Here is a 23,464-nt window from a genome sequence, read left to right on the forward strand (position 1 = left end):
GAAAATTTCAAAAAAATTGTAATTTTTATAAAACTAGAGGCACTAGGGTTTCTAGGCAGATCCAACACTTGTCCCTTATCATTTCAGCGTTACTACAGCTCCTTACCATCCCTAGTCCCTTTCAGATTTTCCTGAAACTTAGAGCTCCCCAGATGTTTGATGATTTAAGTGTATCCTGAGGTTTGCCCTCTCATGGAAGTCCCCATAAACACAAATGGTGACACATTTATCCAAGTTTATGACTCTCTTCTGATGACATGATTTTACATCCATCAGATGCCTCTGCAAGTCTGCCAAATATCACAAGGCAATTCACTAGTGAGAATAAATTCCATAAATTTAATTCAATTATAAATAAGTTCCTGTGCTTTCTTGAGAAAATTAATACGTTTTATGTGTACCAAGAGTGAAGGCTCTGGAGTCAGACTGTCTGGTATCATATACCAGCTACAACACTTCTTGGGTGTGTGAGTTACTTTATTCCTTAATGCCTCAGTTCCATCTTACTTGAAATAAGGATAATAACTGTACCTTCTTGATAGTGTTGCTGTGATGATTCAACAGAATAATTCCTGTGAACCTCCAAGGACAGGGCCTGCAACTTAGAAAGCATTTAATGAGTATTAACTAGGGGGAATTAGAAGCAATCATGGTTTGCATTTTTTTAGAATTCAACAAGTCAAATCTCTACTGATATGAACAGGCTGTTTACTATAGTCCTTCAAAAGTTTTCTGTAACTCAACCATTTGAATTGCTACATTCTGATTCAAGTTTTCCTAGATATCATTGTAGGGGCCAAAGGGACAACTTCCCATTTGCTTTCTGAACGTTTGATGAGAAATCAGCTCACAAAAGGCAGATTAATTGGAGAAAAAGCATACACATTTTATTAGCATACACATGGGGAACATTACTGAGTGATTACCCAACCCCGCAATGGAATGCAGAAGCTTAAATGCCATCTTGAGGTTACAAAAAGAATGAGGGCTTCGGCTGTGGCAAAACAGATTACCAAAGGGAGAAAAGAGGAGGCTTGGCTAGCAAAGGTGTTCTCATTACATAGTTGAAACTTCACAGGTAGCAGTCCTGTTAGAGAATAGATGGCAAATGTTTCTTTCAGACCTTTAAAGGTGTTTCAGACTCTCAGTTAATCTTTCCCAGATCTAGACAAGGGAAGGCCTGGCTTCATCAATGCAGATTTTCTACAGATGCAAATTTCCCCCACAAGATATAACTTTGCAGGGCTACTTCTGTATGCTAGCTCTCTGACAGCCATCTCAAAATATGTCAAAGAAATATATTTTGGGGGATAAAATATTTTGATATCCTTTAGTCCCCACTTTGAAACTTTAAAATTTCACATTTTAAAGGCCAAGCTGATTGCTTTGGAGAGACTTTGGTTAGAGGTTGTTAGATATAGAAGAAAAGTGGAAAAAACAATTGGGATAAGCAGAAAAGAGCAAAGTTAAATATAGAATTCCATATCTTCTTTAGTCAGTCTCTTAGTTCTGAGGATAGATCAGCTCAATTAAACAGCTGTGTCCCATTCCAGGAGGTGGCATAACGGATGGGCTAGGCCTCTATGTATGATGCAGGAAAACAGATCTTTAATAAGAGGCATTTCTATGGATACAGAAGAAAAATTAAGGTTAATGACTGGAGTAGTCTATAGAATAGTCTTTCTGGAGTCTCTGGAGCATCTTTGGACTGCAGTGGCAATCTGACAGATTACATTTTTAAAAGCCTTGAGGGTGGAAAGCCAAGCCAAGGATTTGCCACCATACTGTCTTCAATACCTGTACAAATTGGATGAATTTCTCTTTTCTTGAGGTCTCAAAATAACTTGAGGTGCATGGGCCTGTCAGAATGTTGCATTCTCACCACAGCTCAGGAACCTTGTAAAGGAACTGCATAGAAAAATTACCAGGCCAGTCTGTCCAAGGGATGTCTTAGCAGCTCAATAAAGTCAATGTGAATTCCTTAAAGCAGTCTGTTCATGTCTGAAAATATGCCATTCCAGTCAAAGCCTTGGTAAAATAACCAGTGCCTCTAACTGTGTCCTTTTATTAAAAAGAAAAAAAAGATTCTTATTGAACTTATGTAAATAATTATATTGCCATAAATTAAGAATACTCACAAATAGTTTCCAAATTCTGGAGAAATTAGGTTTAGAGAAAGCTAAATGATTCACATGTGCTCACAAAAGTATATTTAACCCAATTGTTGTAAGTTATAAATAGCTCAAGGGAGAAAAAAAAAGTTTTTTTGACCATGGAAAACAAAACAAAAAGAATCAGCCATGTTTCAAACCAAAAAAAGTCACAAAACTTATTTCAGTCCTCTATTAATTTAGTCTGATGTAATTAATTCTTGTTCCATTTGATGTTGGGTTAGCAATCTTCATGAATGTATCATCTTTTTAGAGTCCTAGACGTTTTCTACCTAGACCAATGGTATGACCTCCAAAGTTATGAGAAATCTGTATTCAATAATATGTGTTAGGTTCCTTTCCATAAATTTCCTTGAAGAAGAAAATTTTGGACTATAACCAATTATAAATTGCTTTTTGAGAAGAAACAAAGTAAAACAATAATTTAACATAATAATTATAATTATTACCAATAACATATACTAACACATATCAGAATTTTAGTAATTAAATTTAGTAATTTAATTATCCAAAATTACAATTTTGGAATATATATCAATAACACATTTATATAAATATAACTCAGAGAAAGTTAACCACCATTTCTTATTTGACGATGCTTCCCATTTGATCTTAACATATCAAATAAGCCTAATGTGTCTCTCTTGTATTTCTAGGGACCCTAATATCCAAAATGCTAGTTTGAGATAAAAATGACTGAATTTAGAATTAGAAATTTTGTTTTTGGGAAGAATATCAAATATTAAAGTTTTAAAACACTTGGTCAAAATAGGATTGCAGGTCACTACGATTATCACTTTGGATAAATTACCATTTTGGATAAATTATCATTTAATTATCTTTTAATTACCCAAAATGATAATTAAAAGATTTCAAAAAGTGGACCAGGCATGGTGGCTCACACCATAATCCCAGCACTTTGAAAGGCCAAAGTGGGCAGATAATTTGAGGTCAGGAGTTTAAGACCAGCCTGACCAACATGGTGAAACCCCATCTCTACTAAAAATACAAAAATTAGCCAGCTGTGGTGTCAGGCACCTGTAATCCCAGCTAGTCAGGAGGCTGAGACAGGAGAATCACTTGAACCCTGGAGGGAGAGGTTGCAGTGAGCCGAGATCAAGCCACTGCACTCCAGCCTGGGGGACAAAGCAAGACTCCATCTCAAAAAAAAAATTTCAAGAGCAAAAATCTTTACTCTTTGATAGTGAAGAGACTCAGTTTCCCCAACAATCATAAGACCTAATAAAGACACCACAAGGCAAACTTAAACTATTTTTTCTCTCTCTTTATTTTGCAGTTTACTTAAGAGGTAAACAAACCTTTTTACTATCTCTTATTATTTACAAAAATCTTGTTTTCTAGAAAACCAAAGTCTACTTTACATCAGTATATTATTATGCTAAAGTTAATTTTAATAAAACTGTATGAACAAATTCAGCCATCTCAGTTTTGACCACAAATTATGATTTCCATAAACCTTTTATAAATCATTCCAAATTTTCCCACTCTCATTTCCTCAACTTTCTCTGTTCATTCAGTGTTACCAATTTTCTTATTCTTAAAATTTAAAACAGCTTTTAAAAACCTCTAAACTATGCAAAATTACTTTTCCTTTAACAAAAACCATATTCTCATGCCTTTTTATAAACTTTTTTTAACCAAAAATGCATTTTACTTTTCTTATATACTTCAGCATACAGAATTGCTTTTCTTATATCTAGTAGTTTTAATTACATATGTTAAGTATAATGTTAACTCTTAGTAACCCTAATTTTCAGTGAAAAACCTAGGAAAAAAGCAATTTTAATTATGTACCAGATGCAGAGCCATGAAGACAATGCCTGGAGGATCTAACTCCTCTCAGCATGGCCAAGAGGCATAGCTAGGCCAGGGGGACAGGGCCCAGGTATTGTCCCAGGTTTCACCATGGTCATTTGCCTAGACTTCAGAATCTAAAGGCTGAACTCCAAAGGCATAAGCTTACAAACTATCAAAAAAAGCAAGTATCAAAAATATCACAGAAGTAAAAGTTTATTTTGTTTTTTGTTTTGTTATGTTTTGTTTTGTTTTGTTTTTTTGAGACAGAGTCTCACACTGTCACCCAGACTGGAGTGCAGTGGCACAATCTCAGCTTACTACAACCTCTGCCTCCTGGGTTCAAGCGATTCTCCTGCCTCAGCCTCCCGAGTAGCTGGGATTACAGGTGCGTGCCAACATGCTCAGCTAATTTTTGTATTTTCAGTAGAGGTGGGGTTTTACCATGTTGGTCAGGCTGGTCTTGAACTCCTAACCTCATGATCTGCCCACCTCGGCCTCCCAAAGAAGTAACAGTTTTATGACCTTAAAACATACAGTAGAGACAGTATAAATCTGTCTGACCAATAGATCCAGCAAAAAACTCTAGGTTAAATTATGAAGACATTTCTATTTTATCAAAATTGTATAACTCTCTTTACCAAAGATTAACAAAATCACATGAACTTGTAAAGCATTAGGGCTTATTTACTTAATTCATGAGTACTCATTTACTTAAAGTCATACAGAGAATATATAAACATAGACACGTAGGCATAAAAATAAAGACAGACACAAAGACTTTATATCTTTGACTTAAAATTTTTAGACATAGATTTCTAAAACTACCTAGTTTTAAAGGACAGTTGGATTAAAACTGCGCCTTTGTACATGAAAAAGTTAATCTCACATGGTCTTAGACCCTACTGGGTTTTAGAGAAAACAGAGTAACAAATTTACATCTCAAAGCACATAGAGAGAGAATTAAATCTTTTTAAGAAGGAATTTGAGAGTGTTATAGGAATATTAGAAATGGATGCCAAGGTTACACAGAAGCATGGGAACTTACCATAGGATTTTATAAGGAGGCCAATTTCATTGATTTTCACTCAATTTAGTTCTCTGATTGGGAATCAAACCCAGACTGCAGTTGTAAATCACAGGACTACAAAGTAAAGCCACCTTTATTGTGAACCCTACAGGGGATCACAGCAGGAAGTTTGAGCTTACAAAGGATTTTAACTTTGTTTTAGGCCAGATTTTTGCTCTTTAATTTTGTCAAGAGAATTTCTAAGGCTAGTCATGACACTATTATGTCTCTTTCTTTTAATTTGAGCTTCCATTAACTTTTTAAAATAAAATATCTCTAAATTTTTTTTTTTAATTTAGGAGTTGGCTGGTGTGATGACTCTTGCCTGTAATCGCAGCACTTTGGGAGGCTGAGATGGGAGGATCCTTGAAGCCAGGAGTTTGAGACTAGCCTGGGCAGCATAGTGAGACACTGTCTCTACAAAATAATAATAATAAAAAAATTAGCCATCATGGTGGCATGCACCTATAGTCCAAGCTATTTGGAAGGCTGAGGCAGGGGATCACTTAGGTGATGAGGAGTTTGAGGCTTTCTTGAGTCATGATTGCACCACTGCACTCCAGAGCCTGGGTGACACAGCAAGACTCTGTTTCTAACAACAACACAAAAATGTAGGAATCTAGTTTAAAGGATACATCTCCTGGCCATTGAATTTCCAATGGTGCATTTATTCCAATAGTGACTCATTCCAATAGCCTCCTTATGGAAAGCCCAGGGTCTAATTATCCAGGTTCAGAAGGCATTTTCTCAGAGAGGGCACAGAAGAGGCTGTCCCAAAGATCCTCCCTGAAAAATTAACTTCAAGAATAGGCCAAGACAGCAGAAGACTCTTGTTGCCCATAGACAGTAACCCACAAATTTGTGGGGGACTGTCAATCACAGACCAGTTAATATGCGACGTCGGGTAGGCCCTTCTGGAATTGGACTTTCCCAGCACTAACCAGTCAAGAAGGGTAGAGGTGACAAAAGCCCTTTATGGATAGACTTCTTATGACAGACTCTCTCAAGAGCTTGACACATTCAGAACAAAGTCTCAGGTTCCCAGCTACTTTCAGACTGACCAGTTGACATGACCTAGAAATCAAGCACCCCAGATGGTAGAGACCCAGAGAGATTGCTTCCACTTAGTCACAGGTCAAGCTCTTGAGGACATAGAACAAGATGAGCGGGAAACTTATCTGATACCTCTCTTTATGACAGAACAACATAGAAAGACAAAGACCAAGGAAAATACTATTTCTGGGAAGAAAGGGATCAAACAATAGGTACCTCCATACCACGAATGACTGAAAAGCACGCCAGAGTCTCTATGCCTACAAATACTCACACAAATCCTTCTCTCCCATTAATCAAGATTTCAGAGGGGAAAAAGAAACAGTGACCTTTACCATCTGCTTGACAGGATTCCACAGAGAGAGAGAGAGAGAGTGGGTCCAGAGGCATGGCTGATAAGAAATTCTTACCTGATAGCAAAAATTAGCCAGGCATAGTAGCAGGCATCTGTAATCCCAGCTACTCAGGAGGCTGAGACAGAAGAATCGCTTGAACCTGGGAGGCGGATGTTGCAGTGAGCCAAGATCGCACCATTGCACTCCAGCCTGGGCAACAAGAGTGAAAACTCCATCTCAAAAAATAAAATAAAATAAAATAAAATAATAAATTCTTACCCTTATGCTGGCCAATCAGGGCTTAGATTCCCCTCACTGCTGCTTCCAAAAAAACAGAGCGGCTTTGGTGATCCTGCTCACAGTGCCAAAACTGTAGGGCAAAGGGAGAGAACACTTCCCCTTTACCCTCAGACAGTTTACAAAAAAGTCAACTCACAAAAGGCAAATTAATGGGAGAAAAGGCATACACATTTTATGAATGTGTACATGGGGAGCATCACAGAGTGATCACCCACCCCTGCCCCAGTGGGGTGCAAAAGCTTATATACCATCTTGTTACAGAAAGAACGGGGGCTTGGATCACGGCAAAACAGGTTATGAGAAGGAGAGAAGAGGAGGCCTGGCTAGCAAAGATGGTCTTGTGATGTAGAGGAAACCTCACAGGTAGCAGCTCTCAGAGAGAATAGGTGGTATATGTTTCTTTCAGACATGTACAGGTGTCAGATCACGGTGGTGGATCCTTCCTGTATGGTTTCGCACCATTCCCCTGGTGCTGTTGTGATAGTGAGTTCTTGGGAGAGCTGGTTGTTTAAAAGTCCGTAGCACCTCCCCTCTCTCTCTCTCTTGCTCCTGCTCCCGCCATATAAGATGCCTGCTCCCCCTTTACCTTCCGCCACAATTTTAAGCTTCCTGAGGCCTCCCCAGAAGGAGAGCAGATGCCAGCATCATGCTTCCTGCACAGCCTGTGGAGCTGTGAGCCGATTAAACCTCTTTTCTTTATAAATTATCCAGTCTCAGGTATTTCTTTATAGCAATGCACGAATGGACTAATGCAAGCTCTATGGTTAAAATAAGCTCAATTAAAAGCTGATTTATATATATATATACACACACACACACAAATATATACATATATGTGTGTACATATATGTGTGTGTATATATATATACATATATGTATATCTTTTCTGCTTTTTCTCTTTGGATCCCATTATGAACATTTTTTTCAGTTGACTGAAACCCTTTTTAAAATTATGTGCTCAATCCCTCTGTTCACGTCCTTTCTTAAGTATTTTTCTCTCATTTACTTTTACTCCTCCCTACTCTGCAAATTCCCCCCACAAAAGCTTAAATACCAACTAAGCTTTGCAAGGCTACTTCTGTTTGCTGTCTCTCTGACAGCTATCCCAAAATATATTTTGAGGTTCAATATTTTTATTTCCCTCAGTATAAACTGGTGATGATTAAGGTCGAAAGTGTGAAGAAATTTCTATAAAAGTTCGTGATACAATGATGAACTCTATTGATAAACACTATCAAGGAAATAGCCTTCTCGCCTGACTTGAATAAACCACTTTATCCTTTCCCTCCAATCTTTCATTGTAGTTCCCATATTGGCACTGCACTCGGGTGGTACAGGAAGGAAGAATGTCTGGAAAGTGGAGTATTTACCTGAAAAACAGATTAAACAGGATATGGAGATAGTTAAAATGATGAGTTTAAGATCCTTCCCCACTCACTAGCATAGAGGCTTGATAATTAGTTTCAGGTAACTTGTAAGATTCTCCCCAGGGCCTGAAAGCCTAAGGGGATGAGTGACTCCTCCCTGCTCAGGCCCAGTCCCAAGGTGCAAGGCCACCTGCATCAGCAGCGTGTGTCAGCAAGACAGCAGAAGCAGGAAGAGAGCCAACCAGAAGACACCTACCCTGGCCGTAAGACATGTACCACCGAAGATCCGAGAAAGAGGCCATCTGGGTACAATGTAGCAGTTACATCAGACTAGGACACTTCCTGTTTACAGGAGGCTATAAAACTTCTGCGCTGTCCTCACCTGGGGCTGACACCATTTTAGGCCTCAGCCGGCCAGCACCTAGGCGCTCATTAAAACAGCATGTTGCTCCACACCACCTCGTGTTGTCTGTTGGCATGCTCTCAGGGTTCGAACCGATACAAGAACCTTACAGTGGAAAATAAATGTTTTTGCATAATCTGAGTGAATTATTAGACTCTGCCATCAGCACCATCTTTATAATTGGTAGAGCCCAATGCAAAGTGAAGATGCAAAGCCTCTTGTTCAAAAACTAAGAAAAAAAATGCAATTCAAGGCACTAAAATATAAAGCTTTTACTTTTCTTCCACACTGTCTTACTTTGTCATGGTATTTTTTTATTTGCTCCTTAATGTTGTTCTAAGTAAAGTATCACTTTAAACCACTAGCATCAATTCTACCCTCATCTTTATATTGTGCAATGCCAGTGATGGGGCTCAGGACACAGTACCCCAAAATATGACTCCAGGGAACCAGAATATGCCATGCCAAATATGGCTCTTTGGCATAATAATTATATTGAGCTTGAGAAGTGGCAACATGGAAGCAGCCCTTGCTCGCTCTTGGCGCCTCCTTGGCCTTGGCATCCGCTCTGGCCACACTCAAGGAGCCCTTCAGCCCGCTGCTGCACTATGAGGGCTGCTCTCTGGGGCTGGCCAAGGCCGGAGCCGGCTCCCTCCACTTGTGGGGAAGTGTGAAAAGAGAGTTGCCATATACACTGTGGAATACTATGCAGCCATAAAAAATGATGAGTTCATGTCCTTTGTAGGGACATGGATGAAGCTGGAAACCATCATTCTCAGCAAACTATCGCAAGGACAAAAAACCAAACACCTCATGTTCTCACTCATAGGTGGGAATTGAACAATGAGAACACATGGACACGGGAAGGGGAACATCACACACCAGGGCCTGTTGTGGGGTGCAGGGAGTGGGGAGGGATAGCATTAGGAGATATACCTAATGTTAAATGACGAGTTAATGGGTGCAGCACACCAACATGGCACATGTGTACATATGTAACTAACCTGCACGTTGTGCACATGTACCCTAAAACCTAAAGTATACTTAAAAAAAAAAGAAAGAAAGAAAGAAAAGAAAAGAGAGGTGCCGGCAGGAGCCGGGGCTGCACGCGGCACTCGGTGCTCCTGGGCTGGCGCGGGTTCCAGGTGAGCACCAGCTCGGCAAGCCCCACACTTGGCGTGGCCAGCTGGTACCTGCTGGGCTTGATCCGAGGCTGAATCCCGTGTGTGGACCACCATTCCCTCTTCGCCAGGATAGCAGGTCTCCATCTCTTTATGGCTTACCGTCTTTTCCTCTTGATTGTCTGGGACAAGCTCCCTCTGGGCTGTCGGAGTGTTCAGGCTAGGTGCCGCAAAGTCCTGTGGTGAATGCCGGTGAGAGGTGAAGCCGGCTGGGCTTTTGGGATGGGTGGGGACTTGGAGAACTTTTGTGGCTAAGGGTTTGTAAATGCACCAATCAGCACTCTGTCAAAATGGACCAATCAGCTCTCTGTAAAACGGACCAATCAGCGCTCTGTAAAATGGACCAATGAGCTCTCTGTAAAATGGACCAATCAGCAGGATGTGGGTAGGGCCAAATAAGGGAATAAAGCACGCCGGCTGAGTCAGCAGCGGCAACCCGCTAGGGTCCCTTTCCATGTTGTGGAAGCTTTTTTCTTTCGCTCTTCACAATAAATCTTGTTGCTGCCCACTCTTTGGGTCCATGCCAGCTTTTATGAGCTGTAACACTCACCTCGAAGGTCTGCAGCTTCACTCCTGAAGTCAGCCAACCACAAACCCGCCAGAAGGAAGAAACTCCAGACACGTCCGAACATGGGAAGGAACAAACTCTAGACACACCATCTTTAAGAACTGTAACACTCACCACCAGGGTCCGCGGCTTCATTCTTGAAGTCAGCGAGACCAAGAACCCACCAATTCCGGACGCAAGCTGGTTATTTTGAGAAACTCCAGACACAGGAGTAGCTCTGAAAACAAGGATGAAGGTTGCCCTTTGGTAAGGGAAATTTACATCTATGAAGAAAATATCTGGGGGGTGTCTCCTCTGCACCGGGAAGAGAGGGATGACTAAACCACTAGAGGCTCTTAACGGAGAAAGGTATCAACTTAAATCTGCATAACAACGCTTATCTTTAAAAATGTTTTTCCTGGCCATCTTACCTTAACTGGCTGTTCCCTATACTCTTTTTTTTTTTCTTTCAGAGAAATGATGGTATTTCAGCCTGAAGTCTAAGACTAAGATCTACTCTAGAGATTTACTAATTTCTCTGGATTATCACCAATGTATACAAGAGGTTTACATGTTATTACATCTCTGTGTGTTTTTCTGTTGTTAATTTGTCTTTTATTACAGGGAGTCCCAGCTAAGAATTCATGAAAAGTGATGAAGAAAATGATTTTTCCTCCCCATACCAGTTTTAAATGCAAATATAAGAGCATTTAATTAGTACGCAAAATCACCAAAATTGTCCAACTTTTATTTTTTTAGCCGTTATACGCATCTGTATTTCATTCTTACCCGTCTTTCTTTCCACTGAAACACTGCACAAAACTTACTTATCTGTTTTATTTCACTTCTTAATGCCCCACATATTCCACTAACACTCTTACTTTTGGCTTAATGATAAGGGAAGATTGAAAGGGAAAAAAATTATGGGTTGCCCTGTCTTCCCTTTTCTTTCTATGTCATCACTTTCAACATAAGAGGCTGGCTAATCCTGAGAAGTAATAGGAGTAAGACAATAATAAGGGTCACTTCTTTCCTTTGTGTTTTTGGAATGCCATTGCCTTTTTTCTGTGTTGGAAACAAGTTCTGGTTTAACAGAAGTGTGACCTCGGCTGGGTACAGTGTCTCAGCCTGTAATCCCAGTAACCAACTACGGGCAGATCACTTGAAGCCAGTAGTTCAAGACCAGTCTGGCCAACATGGTGAAACCCCGTCTCTATTAAAAATACAAAAATTAGCTGGGTGTGGTGGTGCGTGCTTATAGTTACAGCTACTTGGGAGGCTGAGGCAGGAAAATTGCTTGCACCTGGGAGGGGGATGTTGCAGCGAGCTGAGATCGTGCCACTGCACTTTAGCCTGGGCAACAGAGTGAGACTCCATCTCAAAAAAATAAAATAAAATAAAAATTATATATACATAAAAAGGGTAAGGGTTTGGAGCATGTCCACACAAGTTATGGCAGTAAATCTGGTGGTGGTGGCAAGACAGGTCATGGGAGGAAGAGAAGAGGAGGTTTGCCTAGCAAAGGTGGTCTGGTTATATAGATGAAATCTCACAGGTAGCAGCCCTCAAAGAGAATAGATGGTAAATTTTGATAAATAGATGTTAGAGTCTCCACTAACCTTTCCTAAATCTGGACAAGGGAGGGCTTCAAAGAAAGCTTGTTTGCTTCCATTGTTTCGTTCACTTTATCTTCTCTACAGATACAAATCTCTCCCACAAAAGACAGCTTTGCAGGGTCACTCTGTCTGCAGGCACCCTAGTCACAGAATATGTCAAAGAAGCATATTTTGAGGTGAATAGTTCAGTTTTCTTCACACTCATGAAGTGGACCCTGCCTACCACTTGTGTCTGGAGCAAATACCTCCAATTCCTTGTTGGTAGGTTGTGGAGTGACTGCTCATTGCCACCTAATATCTCGTCTCTCCTTCCTTTCTTTTTTTTTAAATAGAAACGGGGTCCCATTCTATTGCCCAAGCTGGTCTTGAACTCCTGGGCTCAAGCAATCCTCCTGCCTCAGCCTCCCAAAGTGCTGGGATTACAGGCGAGTCACTGCACCTGGCCTCTCCTTCCTTGATAACAGAAATCCAATTTTGTTTGGAGTTTAATGTGCTGAGCTAAAAACTACATTTTCGGCAACTTCTGCAGCTGCTATAGCCACATGAATAAGTTTTGGTTAATTGGATGTGCACAGAAGTGTTTTATGGGATTTCTGGGATAACAGTCTCTTTCCTCCTTTTAGTAGCTTTGGAATAGAGTTGTGATAGCTAGAACTCCATCTGGAATCTTAGAAAGTGAGGTGACCTGCAGGATGAAAGTTAGGTCCTCAAATGAAGCAGAAACACAGAAGGTGACTGAGTCCCTAAAAAACCAAAGCATTGCCACCCCAGCCCTTGGCTGCTTATATTGGGGTAACCTGCCCCCAATATTTCAATGTAGGTTCTTTCTGTTTTCCCTAAGTATTGGCTGATCTGAGAAATAAAGAGAAAGAGTACAAAGAGAGGAATTTTACAGCTGGGCTACCAGGGTGACATCACATATTGGTAGGTCTATGATGCCCACCTGAGCCCCAAAACCAGCAAGTTTTATTAAGGATTTCAAAAGGGGAGGGGGTGTATGAACAGGGAGTAGGTCACAAAGATTACATGCTTCAGAGGGCAAAAGGCAGAACAAAGATCACATGCTTTTGAGGCGAATAAAGATCACAAGGCAAAGGACAAAGCAAGATCACAAGGCAAAGGGCAAAGTCAAAAACTCCTGATAAGGGTCTATGTTCAGCTGTGCACGTATTGTCTTGATAAACATCTTAAACAACAGAAAACAGGGTTCAAGAACAGAGAACCAATCTGACCTCAAATTTACCACAGTGGGATTTTTTCCCCACCCTAATAAGCCTGAGGGTACTGCAGGAGACCAGGGTGTATTTCAGTCCTTATCTCAACCGCATAAGACAGACACTGCCAGAGTGGCCGTTTATAGACCTCCCCCCAGGAATGCAATTCTTTTCCTAGGGTCTTAATATTATATTCCTTACTAGGAAAAGAATTTAGCGATATCTCTCCTACTTGCACGTCCATTTATAGGCTCTCTGCAACAAGAAAAATATGGCTCTTTTTGCCCAACCCCAAGTCAGACCTTATGGTTGTCTTCCCTTTTTCCCTAAAATCACTGTTATTCTGTTCATTTTCAAGGTGCACTGATTTCATGTTGTTCAAACACGCATGTTTTACAATCAATTTGTTCAGTTAACGCAATCATCACAGGGTCCTGAGGTGATGTACATCCTCAGCTTATGAAGATAACAGGATTAAGAGATTAAAGTAAGACAGGCATAAGAAATTATAAGAGTATTATTAGGGAAGTGATAAATGTCCATGAAATTTTCACAATTTATGTTTCTTCTGCTGTGGCTCCAGCGGGTCCCTCCATTCGGGGTCCCTGACTTCTTGCAACATGCTTACCTCTGAATTTTTTACCTGTGAGAGAAATAAGCTTGTATTTGTTAAACCATTATTTTTTACAGCTTTATTATGTGCAGGTAAAATTAATCTAAACTTGCATGGAAGTCTCCACTAGTTCACCTAGGTTAAGAAATTAAGTTAAACATTTTTTTTTTGAGATGGAGTTTTGGTCTTGTTGTCTAGGCTGGAGTGCAGTGATGCAATCTCGGCTCACTGCAATCTCCACCTCCCGGGGGTTCAAGTGGTTCTCCTGCCTCAGCCTCCCAAGTAGCTGGGATTACAGGCACCCACCACCACACCCAGCTAATTTTTATATTTTTAGTAGAGACAGGGTTTCACCATGTCGGCCAGGCTGGTCTTGAACTCCTGACCTCAGGTGATCCACCCTCCTCGGCCTCCCAAAACCCTGGGATTACAGGCATGAGCCACTGCGCCCGGCCAAGTTAAACGATTTTTTTTTTTTTTCGAGATGGAGTCTCATTCTGTCCCCCAGGCTGGAGTGCAGTGGCGTGATCTCGGCTCACTGAAAGCTCCGCCTCCAGGTTCACACCATTGTCCTGCCTCAGCCTCCCAAGTAGCTGGGACTACAGGCACCCACCACCACGCCCGGCTAATTTTTTGTATTTTTTGTAGAGACAGGGTTTCACCGTGTTAGCCAGGATGGTCTCGATCTCCTGACCTCATGATCCGCCCACATCAGCCTCCCAAAGTGCTGGGATTACAGGTGTGAGCCACCACGCCTGGCCAACAATGTTTTAAACACATCTCAGGCAGTCTTCAGTTTGTTGTTGGGCAATGTGTCGTGAAGCCGCTGGTATGAATGACAATCATTTCTAGGATTCAGAGGCCCTTTTCCTTTATCTTCCCAGGTCAGGACTATTTTCTGGATTTCTGAGATTGCTGATAAGTGCAGTATTCTGATAATGACAATGTTGTAGTAGAAATAGTAATAGTAATAACATGAGTATAACATTTCTTATTTTTTAAAAGTAAATATTAAAATTATGCAACAAATTTGGGGTAGAAAGCCATAAAAATTCATGTGGATAATTATAAGACTACCACTGAAAAGAGATGTCAACCATTGACATATATCAACCGCGAAAGAGGAGGCATGATAAGAGATTAAGGTGACTAATACTTCTATCTAGTGTTCAAATTGAAAACTACCATTTCTTGTCTATAAGGACAATGTCGGGTTTTAGCAAATGTTTTCTTTCCCCCAGCTGACTTGTGCTGGGCCATCCTAATTGTCTTGTCCATTTGCAAAAAAAAAAAACAAAAACAACAACAACAACAGAAAAACACTAGATAATATTCCAGGGAGCCACCTGGAGGTGACTGAGATGGCAGCTGGAGTATAATAAAAAACTAAGCATATTAGGGAGTGTGTTCTATTTTTTTATTTGTCTTAAGGGCTGAAAGCACGGAGTGTGGGCTTTGAACTCAGAACAATGGAGTTAAAGAGAAGACAGTCTAAGAAGAGAAAGGCAAAAGAACAATGGAGACTTGCAGCGCTCCTGCCTCCTCTTAGATGTTCTTCTACTTGCCTCTGGAGGATTTCCCCCAGACTGCTTTTTCTACTTCCTCACTGGTCTATCTGTGTCTCCTCAACCCCACTCACTCCATGATGACCTTTCAGAAGCTCACACTCTCTCATCCCCTTTCTAATGTCCTCCTCACCTCACATTGAGTCAGGGCTGTTTAGTGGAAAGAGGGTTTGATTCTGGGATCCCCTACTTCCTTACTAGTTATCTTGAGCAAATCACTTGAGTTTTCTGAGGCTTAAGTTGTTCATATCTGTACCTGGGTAGATAATACATGGATAATATGTACCTTATAGGGAGGTTGCTCAAATTGGACGATGTATTGTGAAAGAGACAGATGTGGTAGGCAGTTGGGGCATTTCATTTTATTTTCCTTTTCTCATTCTCTTCCCTTCCGTAAATCACTGTTAGGGGAAAATTAGTAAAAAAAGAAAAATAGGCTACTGGAATAAAATATTAGGTATAAATAATTTTCAAAGTTTGATTTTAGAGGTATGATGACAGTGAATTTCTATTGATTTTCTGTTTTTTCATGTGAGTATTCTTTGATAAAGGGACACTATTCTACTTACTCATCTGCAAGCTCAGGACAAATTACTCTCAGCTCTGTAAGCCCTCTCATGCTACTACTCTGTGGTTATGAGGACACACGAGGGAAATAGCTGGAAAGATTTTGTAAAGTCTAAAGTAAATGCTAATGAATAGTAATTATTATATTTTGTTTGCTCCTTGTTATACCTATAGTGGATATTCAGTAAAGATTTTTTATATTTTTTATTTTTTAAACTTTATTATTATTATTTGAGACAGAGTTTCACTCTGTTGCCCAGGCTGGTGTGCAGTGGCACCATCTCGACTCAATGCAACCTCTGCCTCCTAGGTTCAAGCAATTCTCCTGCCTCAGCCTCCCGAGTAGCTGGGATTACAGGTGTGCACCATTATGCCCAGGTAATTTGTGTATTTTTAGTGGACACGAGGTTTCACCATATTGGTCAGGCTGGCCTTGATGTCCTGGCCCCAAGTGATCCACCTACTTCAGCCTCCTGAAGTGTTAGGATTACAGGCATGAGCCACTGCATCTGGCCAAGATTTTTTTTTTTAACTATTGACTGAAGATAGAATAATATGGCAATATAATATGAAACTAGTATTAAATTGGCAGGAGGGATGTGCATTAGTCTGTTCTCATGCTGCTAATAAAGACATACCCAAGACTGGGTAATTTATAAAGGAAAGGTTTAATGGACTCACAGTTCCACATGGCTGGGGAAGCCTCACAATCATGGTGGACGGCAAAGGAGGAGCAAAGTCATGTCTTACATAAATGGCAGCAGGGAAGAGAGAGAGAATGTGCAGGGAAACTCCCCTTTATAAAACCATCAGATCTTATGAGACTTATTCACTATCATGAGAACAACACAGGAAAGACCCACTCCAATGATTCAATTACCTCCCACCCGGTCCCTTCCATAACACGTGGGAATTATGGGAGCTACAATTTGAGATGTGGGTGGCGACACAGCCAAACCATATCAGAATGTGTACAAAAGACATTATTTGTTATAGAGCCTAGAAAAAGGAGCAATTCACGTGGTGGAATCTAAGAAAGGCTCCCACAAGGGTGGGTGTGATGGCTCACACCTGTAATCCCAGCACTTTGGGAGGCTGAGGCTGGACAATTACTTGAGGCCAAGAGCTCTAGACCAGCCTGGGCAACATAGTGAGACCCTGTCTCTACAAAAAATTTAAAAATTGGTCGGGCATGGTGACACAGACCTGTAGTCCCAGCTACTTGGGAGGCTTGGGATGGGAGGATCACCTGCACCCAGGAGATCGAGGCTGCAGTGACCATGATTGCACCACTGCACTCCAGCCTGGGGAACACAGTAAGACCCTGTCTCAGAAAGAAAAAAAAAAAAAGAAAGAAAGAAAAAAAAGGCTTCACAGAGATGAGACATTTAAGACATGTTTTTTCATAAAAAGAAATGAGGAAAAGGAAATTCCACAGAGAAACCACAGAATGAATAGAGGCATCGATTTAGGAAAAAGCAAGCACGAAAAGGCAAGTAGTTCATTTTGACAGTAGTCCCTGTGTATGTGTGGTGGGGTGGGGGGGATATATATAACTATAACTATCAGTGAGATAAATATAGAAAGGTTGGTTACAAGTGGATAATAGAAGGCCTTTAATTATATGCAAAGGATTTTGTTTTCTTTGTTTTTCTGTAGGCAAAAGGCCTACAACCATTAAGAAAAATAAGTGGTGTGATCAGACCTGTGTTTTCCACAGGCAACACTCAGGAGAATAAGAAGGATCTATTTGTGATGCCAGTTGTTAGATATAGAGACATTTGAGATGTTGTTGCCAAAGACCTCAACTCTGGTAGGAGTGATGGAGACAGAAAGAAGTAGATAGAAAATGGGATATTGATGATATCAGCCAATCAGCAATTAATCCATTAGGGGAGGGTTTTCCTTTTTTGTTTTTTGAAGCAGGGTCTTGCTCTGTCACCCAGGCTAGAGTAAAGCAGAGTGAACACAGCTCACTACAGCCTTGACCTCCTGGGCTCAAGTGATCTTCCTGCTTCAGCCTCCCGTGTAGCTGAGACCATAGGTGTGTGCCACCACGCCAGGCTAACTTTTCGATTTTTTGTATAGACAGGGTCTTGCCTTGTTGCCCAAGCTGGTCTTGAACTCCTGGGCTCCAGCTATCCTCCCCTTTGACTTCCCAAATTTTTGGGATTACTGGTGTGAGCCACCGCCCCTGGCCTGAGAGTTTTGCAGTGGCAAGAAAATGTAAGATGAATTGGAGGTTTTTAGCTGGAATGGTTTTAAGGAAGTGCCACTAGGGGGCATGAAAGGAAAGATCAGGGAATAAAGAGTGTTCTAAGACTTTAGTAAAAATTAAACAGGCTTTCTAGTCAAATGGATCAGTGTTAATATCCTACCATTTAGGCCAGTGCAGTGGCTAACACTTGTAATCCCAACACTTTGGGAGGCTGAGGCAGGTGGATCACTTGAGGTCAGGAGTTCAAGACCAGCCTGGCCAACATGGTGAAACCCTGTCTCTACTAAAAATACGAAAATTAGCTGGGCGTCGTGGCACCTGCCTGTAATTCCAGCTACTTGGGAGGCTGAGGCAGAAGAATCGCTTGAACCTGGGAGGCAGAAGTTGCAGTGAGCTGAGATCACACCACTGCACTCCAGCCTGGGTGAGTGATAGAGTGAGACTCCATCTAAAAAAAAAAAACAAACCCTGCCATTTATACACATCGTGTAACTTCAAGCAAGTTACCTAAACTCTCTGAGCCTTAATTCCTTACCCTCAAAAATGAGAATAATAATAATAATACTTATTTTGCATGATTGATATAGAAAGTCGTGTTGCTTAACTCCTTAGCATCTGTCTCAGCTTTCTTCCAGCAACATGCCTTTCATCTGGGATCTGCTTACTCCGCTCAGAAAGTGCATGGATGAGATTCCATCCTGATCCACAAGGTAGACTGACTACCCCATTGGCTTCCACAGTGATTGCCTCAGGGGTAGACATATGACCCAAATCGGGTGAAGACTTTTGTTTTGAGCAGATTTTTTCTGTACACAGGCTGTGAAGCTGAGAGCTGGATATATATAAAGTTTAGAGCTGCTGTAACCCTCTTGCAATCTCAGAGGAGCTCCTGGAATTGCAAGATAGACTGCATGGAGCCTGAAGATGAAGCCCTCATAGCAAGAGGCGGAGTGAAGAGACAGAGAAATGGAGTCATTAAGGACATTGGTTAAGTCCTTGTTTTCAGTAGTGCCTGTAATCAGCCATTCTGGTGGATTTTTCAGTTACTTGACTTTAATAATAAACAGTTGCGCTGTAATCATAAATACCTCCTAAATGCTCACGTGCTTACAACAACAAAAATTATCTCTTGCTGATGCTACATGGGCTACCTGCAGCGCTGCTTTATTGTTGTTTTTAATCTGGGACTCAGTAAAATAGAGCAGTCTCTCTCTAGAAAATCACCTGTTGTAACGGAGGAAAAGAAAAGTAGGAAAAGAAGTGCTCGCTCTAAACTATCTGCCTGAAGTTGCTTGCTTCCCACTTGCATATAATTGGCCAGAACAAATCACATGGTCAAGATTGATGTCACAGGGTGGAGAGGGGCAGCAAAGTTTTTTGAAAAATAATAATGCAATCTACAAGTAAATTTCCCTTTTGCTTAAGTGAGCTTGGGCTATATTTTCTGTCACGTGCAACCGAAAGAATCTTTTTTTTTTTTTTTTGAGACAGAGTCTCACTCTGTCACCCAGGTTGTAGAGCAATGACGCCATCTCAGCTGACTGCAACCTCCGCCTCCCAGGTTCAAGTGATTCTCATACCTCAGCCTCGCAAGTCGAGTAGCTGGGATTACAGGCGCCCTCCAACGCACCTGGTTAATTTTTGTATTTTAGTAGAGACGGGGTTTTGCCATATTGGCCAGGCTGGAGAATCTTAACTAAGGAAAGGTGATGAAAGAATTAGATATTTTATATAAAATCATCAACACATGGTAAGTACTCAAAATATCGGACCTTCTGTTTCCAAGTGCATGAACACAGATTAAGTGAAAATTATCTTTCTTAAAAAAAAAGATGTGCTCAATTTCTTTAATATACATTTTATTCACTTATCTCACTAACATTTATTCAGTTTTTTTTTTTAAATTTGGCAGACACTGTGCTAGGTGCTGGGAATACAAAATGAGTACAATGCGCTTACATTTTAGTTATTCAGTAGATTTTCTTTTAAGAAATAACAATATGAGGTTTCAGTGTCTTATATTGATAATATCAAACTCTTACAGTCTGAGCATATGAAACATTCTCCAAGGTCAGCCATATCTTAGGCCACAAAACAAGACTCAACAAATTTTAAAAAGTAAAAATTATATTGTGTCTTTTGTGATCATAGTGGAATAAAACTAGAAATCAATAACAAGAACCTCAGAAACTACACAAACACATGGCAACACAAACAACATGCTCCTGTATGACCAATGGGTCAATGAAGAAATTAAGAAGGAAATTAAAAAATTTCTTAAAACAAACGAAAATGGAAATACAACATACCAAAATCTATGTGATATGGCAAAAGCAGTACTAAGAGAGAGGTTTATACCAAAAAACTAAAAAGACATCAAATAAACAAGCTAAAAAATGTACCCCAAGAGACCAGAAAAACAAGAACAAACCAAACCCAACATTAGTAGCAGAAAAGAAACAATAAATATCAGAGCAGAAATAAAATCAGAGCAGAAATAAACGAAATTGAGACTAAAAAAATTACAGAAGATCAACAAAACAAAAAGTTTTCTCGAAAAGATAAAATTGACAAAACTTTAGCTAGACTAAGAAAAAAAGGGAGAGGACCCAAATAAATAAAATCAGAAATGAAAAAGGAAACATAACAGCTAAGACCACAGAAATACAAAGAATCATTAGAGACTATTATGAAAAACTACATGCCAACAAATTGGAAAACCTAGAAGAAATGAATAAGTTCCTGGACAAATGCAATCTACCAAGACTGAACCACAAAGAAATAGAAAACTTCAACAAACCAGTAACAAGTAACAAGATCAAAGCCATAATTAAAAAAATCTCCCATCAAACAGCCGAGGACCTGACAGCTTCACTACTAAATTCTACCAAACACTTAAAGAAGAACTAATACCAATCCTACTCAAACTCTGTTAAAAAAAAAAAAAATGAAAAAGGAGAGAATACTTTCAAACTCATTTTACTAGGCCAGCATTACCCTGATACCAAAACCAGACAAGGACACAACAACAAAAACTACAGGCCAATATGCCTGATAAACATAGATACGAAAATCCTCAGCAAAATACAAGCAAACCAAATTCAACAACACATTAAAGAGATTATTCACTCATTAAAGAGAGTGATCATTAAAGAGAGTGATCAAGTAGGATTCATCCCAGGGAAGCAAAGATGGTTCAACATACAAAAATCAATAAATGTGATATATCACATTAACAGAAGCAAGAACAAAAAAACCACATGATCATTTCAATAGATGCTGAGAAAGCATTTGGTAAAATTCAACATTCCTTTATGATAAAAAATCAAAAAACTGGGTATAGAAGGAACGTATTTCAAAATAATAAAAGCCATATATGACAAACCCACAGCCAATATCATACTGAACTGAAAAACTGGAAAACCTTTCCTCTAAGATCTGAAATAAGACAAGGGTGCCCATTTTCACCTTTTTTGTTTTTTGTTTGTTTGAGTCAAGGTCTTACTCTTTCACCCAGGATGGAGTGCAGTGGCATGATTTCAGCTCAATGCAACCTCTGCTTCACAGGTTCAAGGGATTCTCCTTCCTCAGCCTCCCGAGTAGTTGAGATTACAGGCATGCACCACCACACCAGGCTAATTTTTGTATTTTTAGGAGAGACAGGGTTTCACCATGTTGGCCAGGCTGGTCTCAAACTCCTGACCTCAGGTGATCCACCCACCTCAGGCTCCCAAATTGCTGGGATTACAGGTGTGAGCCACCGCGCCCGGCCCACTTTCACCATTTTTATTCAACATAATACTGAAAGTTCTGGCCAAAGCAATTAGGCAAAAGAAAGAAATAAAGAGCATCCAAATTGGAAAGAAAGAAGTTAAATTCGTCTTTTTCACAGATGACATGATATTATATTTAGGAAACCCAAAGACTCCACCAAAAACAACTGATAAACAAATTCATTAAAGTGACATGATACAAAATCAACATACAAAACCAGTAGCATTTATATAAACCAACAGCAAACAATATAAAAAAGAATTCAAGAAAGCAATTCCATTTACAATAGCTAAAAGAATATAAAATAATTAAAAATCAATTTAACCAAAATGATCTATACAAAGAAAACTATAAAACACTGATTAAAGAAATTGAAGAGGGGCTGGGCATGGTGGTTCAAACCTATAATCCCAGCACTTTAGGAGGCTGAGGCAGGTGGATCACTTGAGGCCAGGAGTTTGAGACCAACCTAACCATCATGGTGAAACCCTGTCTGTAGTAAAAATACAAAAGTTAGCCAGGCGTGATGGCACACGCATGTAATCTCAGCTACTCGGCAGGCTGAGGCATGAGAATCTCCTGAACCCAGGAGGTGGAGGTTGTGGTAAGCCGAGATGGTGCCACTGCACTCCAGCCTTGGTGGCAGAGTGAGACTCAGAAGAAAGAAAGAGAGGAAGAGACAGAGAAAGAGAGAGAGGAAAGGAAGGAAGAAAAGACAAAAAGTAGAAAGATGTTTAATGCTCATGGATTCGAAGATTCAATATTGTTAAAATGTCTATATTATCCAAAGCAATCTATAGATTTAATGCAATTCCCATCAAAATTCCAATGACTTTTTTCAGGGAAATAAAAGTTATTATTATTTTTTTTAAATAGAAGACCATTAACAGCCAAAGCAATAAGCATAAGAACAAAGCTGTAGGCATCACCCTACCTGTCTTCAAAATGTACTACAAAGCTAGTAACCAAATCAGCATATTAGTATAAAAACAGATACACAGATCAATGGAACAGAATATAGAATTCAGACATAAATCCACACACTTAGAGCCAACTCATTTTTGACAAAGAAGCCAAAAATATATAATGGAGAAAGGACAGTCTCTTCAATAAATGGTGCTGGGAAAACTTCTGCATGCAGAAGAATGAAACTAGACCCCTGGCCGGGCGTGGTGGCTCACACCTGTAATCCCAGCACTTTGGGAGGCCGAGGCGAATGGTTCACCTGAGATCAGGAGTTCGAGACCAGCCTAGCCAACATGGCGAAACCCTGTCTCTACTAAAAATATAAAAATTAGACGGGCGTGATGGCAGAGGCCTGTAATCCCAGCTACTCAGGAGGCTGAGGCAGGAGAATTGCTTGAACCTGGGAGGTGGAGGTTGCAGTGAGCAGAGATTGTGCCAGTGCACTCCAGCCTGGGAGACAAGAACAAAACTCCATCTCAGAAAAAAAAAAAAAGAAAGAAAGAAACTAGACCCATATACAAAAATCAAATCAAAGTTAATTAAAGACAATATAAGATGTGAAACTACTAGAAGAAAACATTGGGGAAATGCTTTGGGACATTGCTCTGGGCAAAAAATTTTGTGGAAGATCTCAAAAACACAGGAAACAAAAGCAAAAATAGACCAGTGAGATTACATTAAGCGAAAAAG

General features: G+C 40.2%; 2 long non-coding RNA genes across 2 annotated transcripts; one reads left to right on the plus strand and one right to left on the minus strand.

Moving 5' to 3' along the window:
- Positions 1-865: 865 nt before the first annotated feature.
- LOC124900731 (uncharacterized) lies at positions 866-7,225 on the minus strand. Its single transcript, XR_007058173.1, has 2 exons — positions 6,519-7,225; positions 866-2,061 (listed from the first exon to the last, which is right to left on the minus strand). It is a non-coding gene; the product is annotated as an uncharacterized LOC124900731 (long non-coding RNA).
- A 2,902-nt stretch (positions 7,226-10,127) lies between these two features.
- Positions 10,128-10,818, plus strand: LOC105377326 (uncharacterized). The gene is made up of 2 exons (XR_938964.2): positions 10,128-10,610; positions 10,715-10,818. It is a non-coding gene; the product is annotated as an uncharacterized LOC105377326 (long non-coding RNA).
- The last annotated feature ends 12,646 nt before the right edge of the window (positions 10,819-23,464 follow it).

Source organism: Homo sapiens, chromosome 4, assembly GCF_000001405.40.
Source record: "Homo sapiens chromosome 4, GRCh38.p14 Primary Assembly".
NCBI lineage: Eukaryota > Metazoa > Chordata > Mammalia > Primates > Hominidae > Homo > Homo sapiens.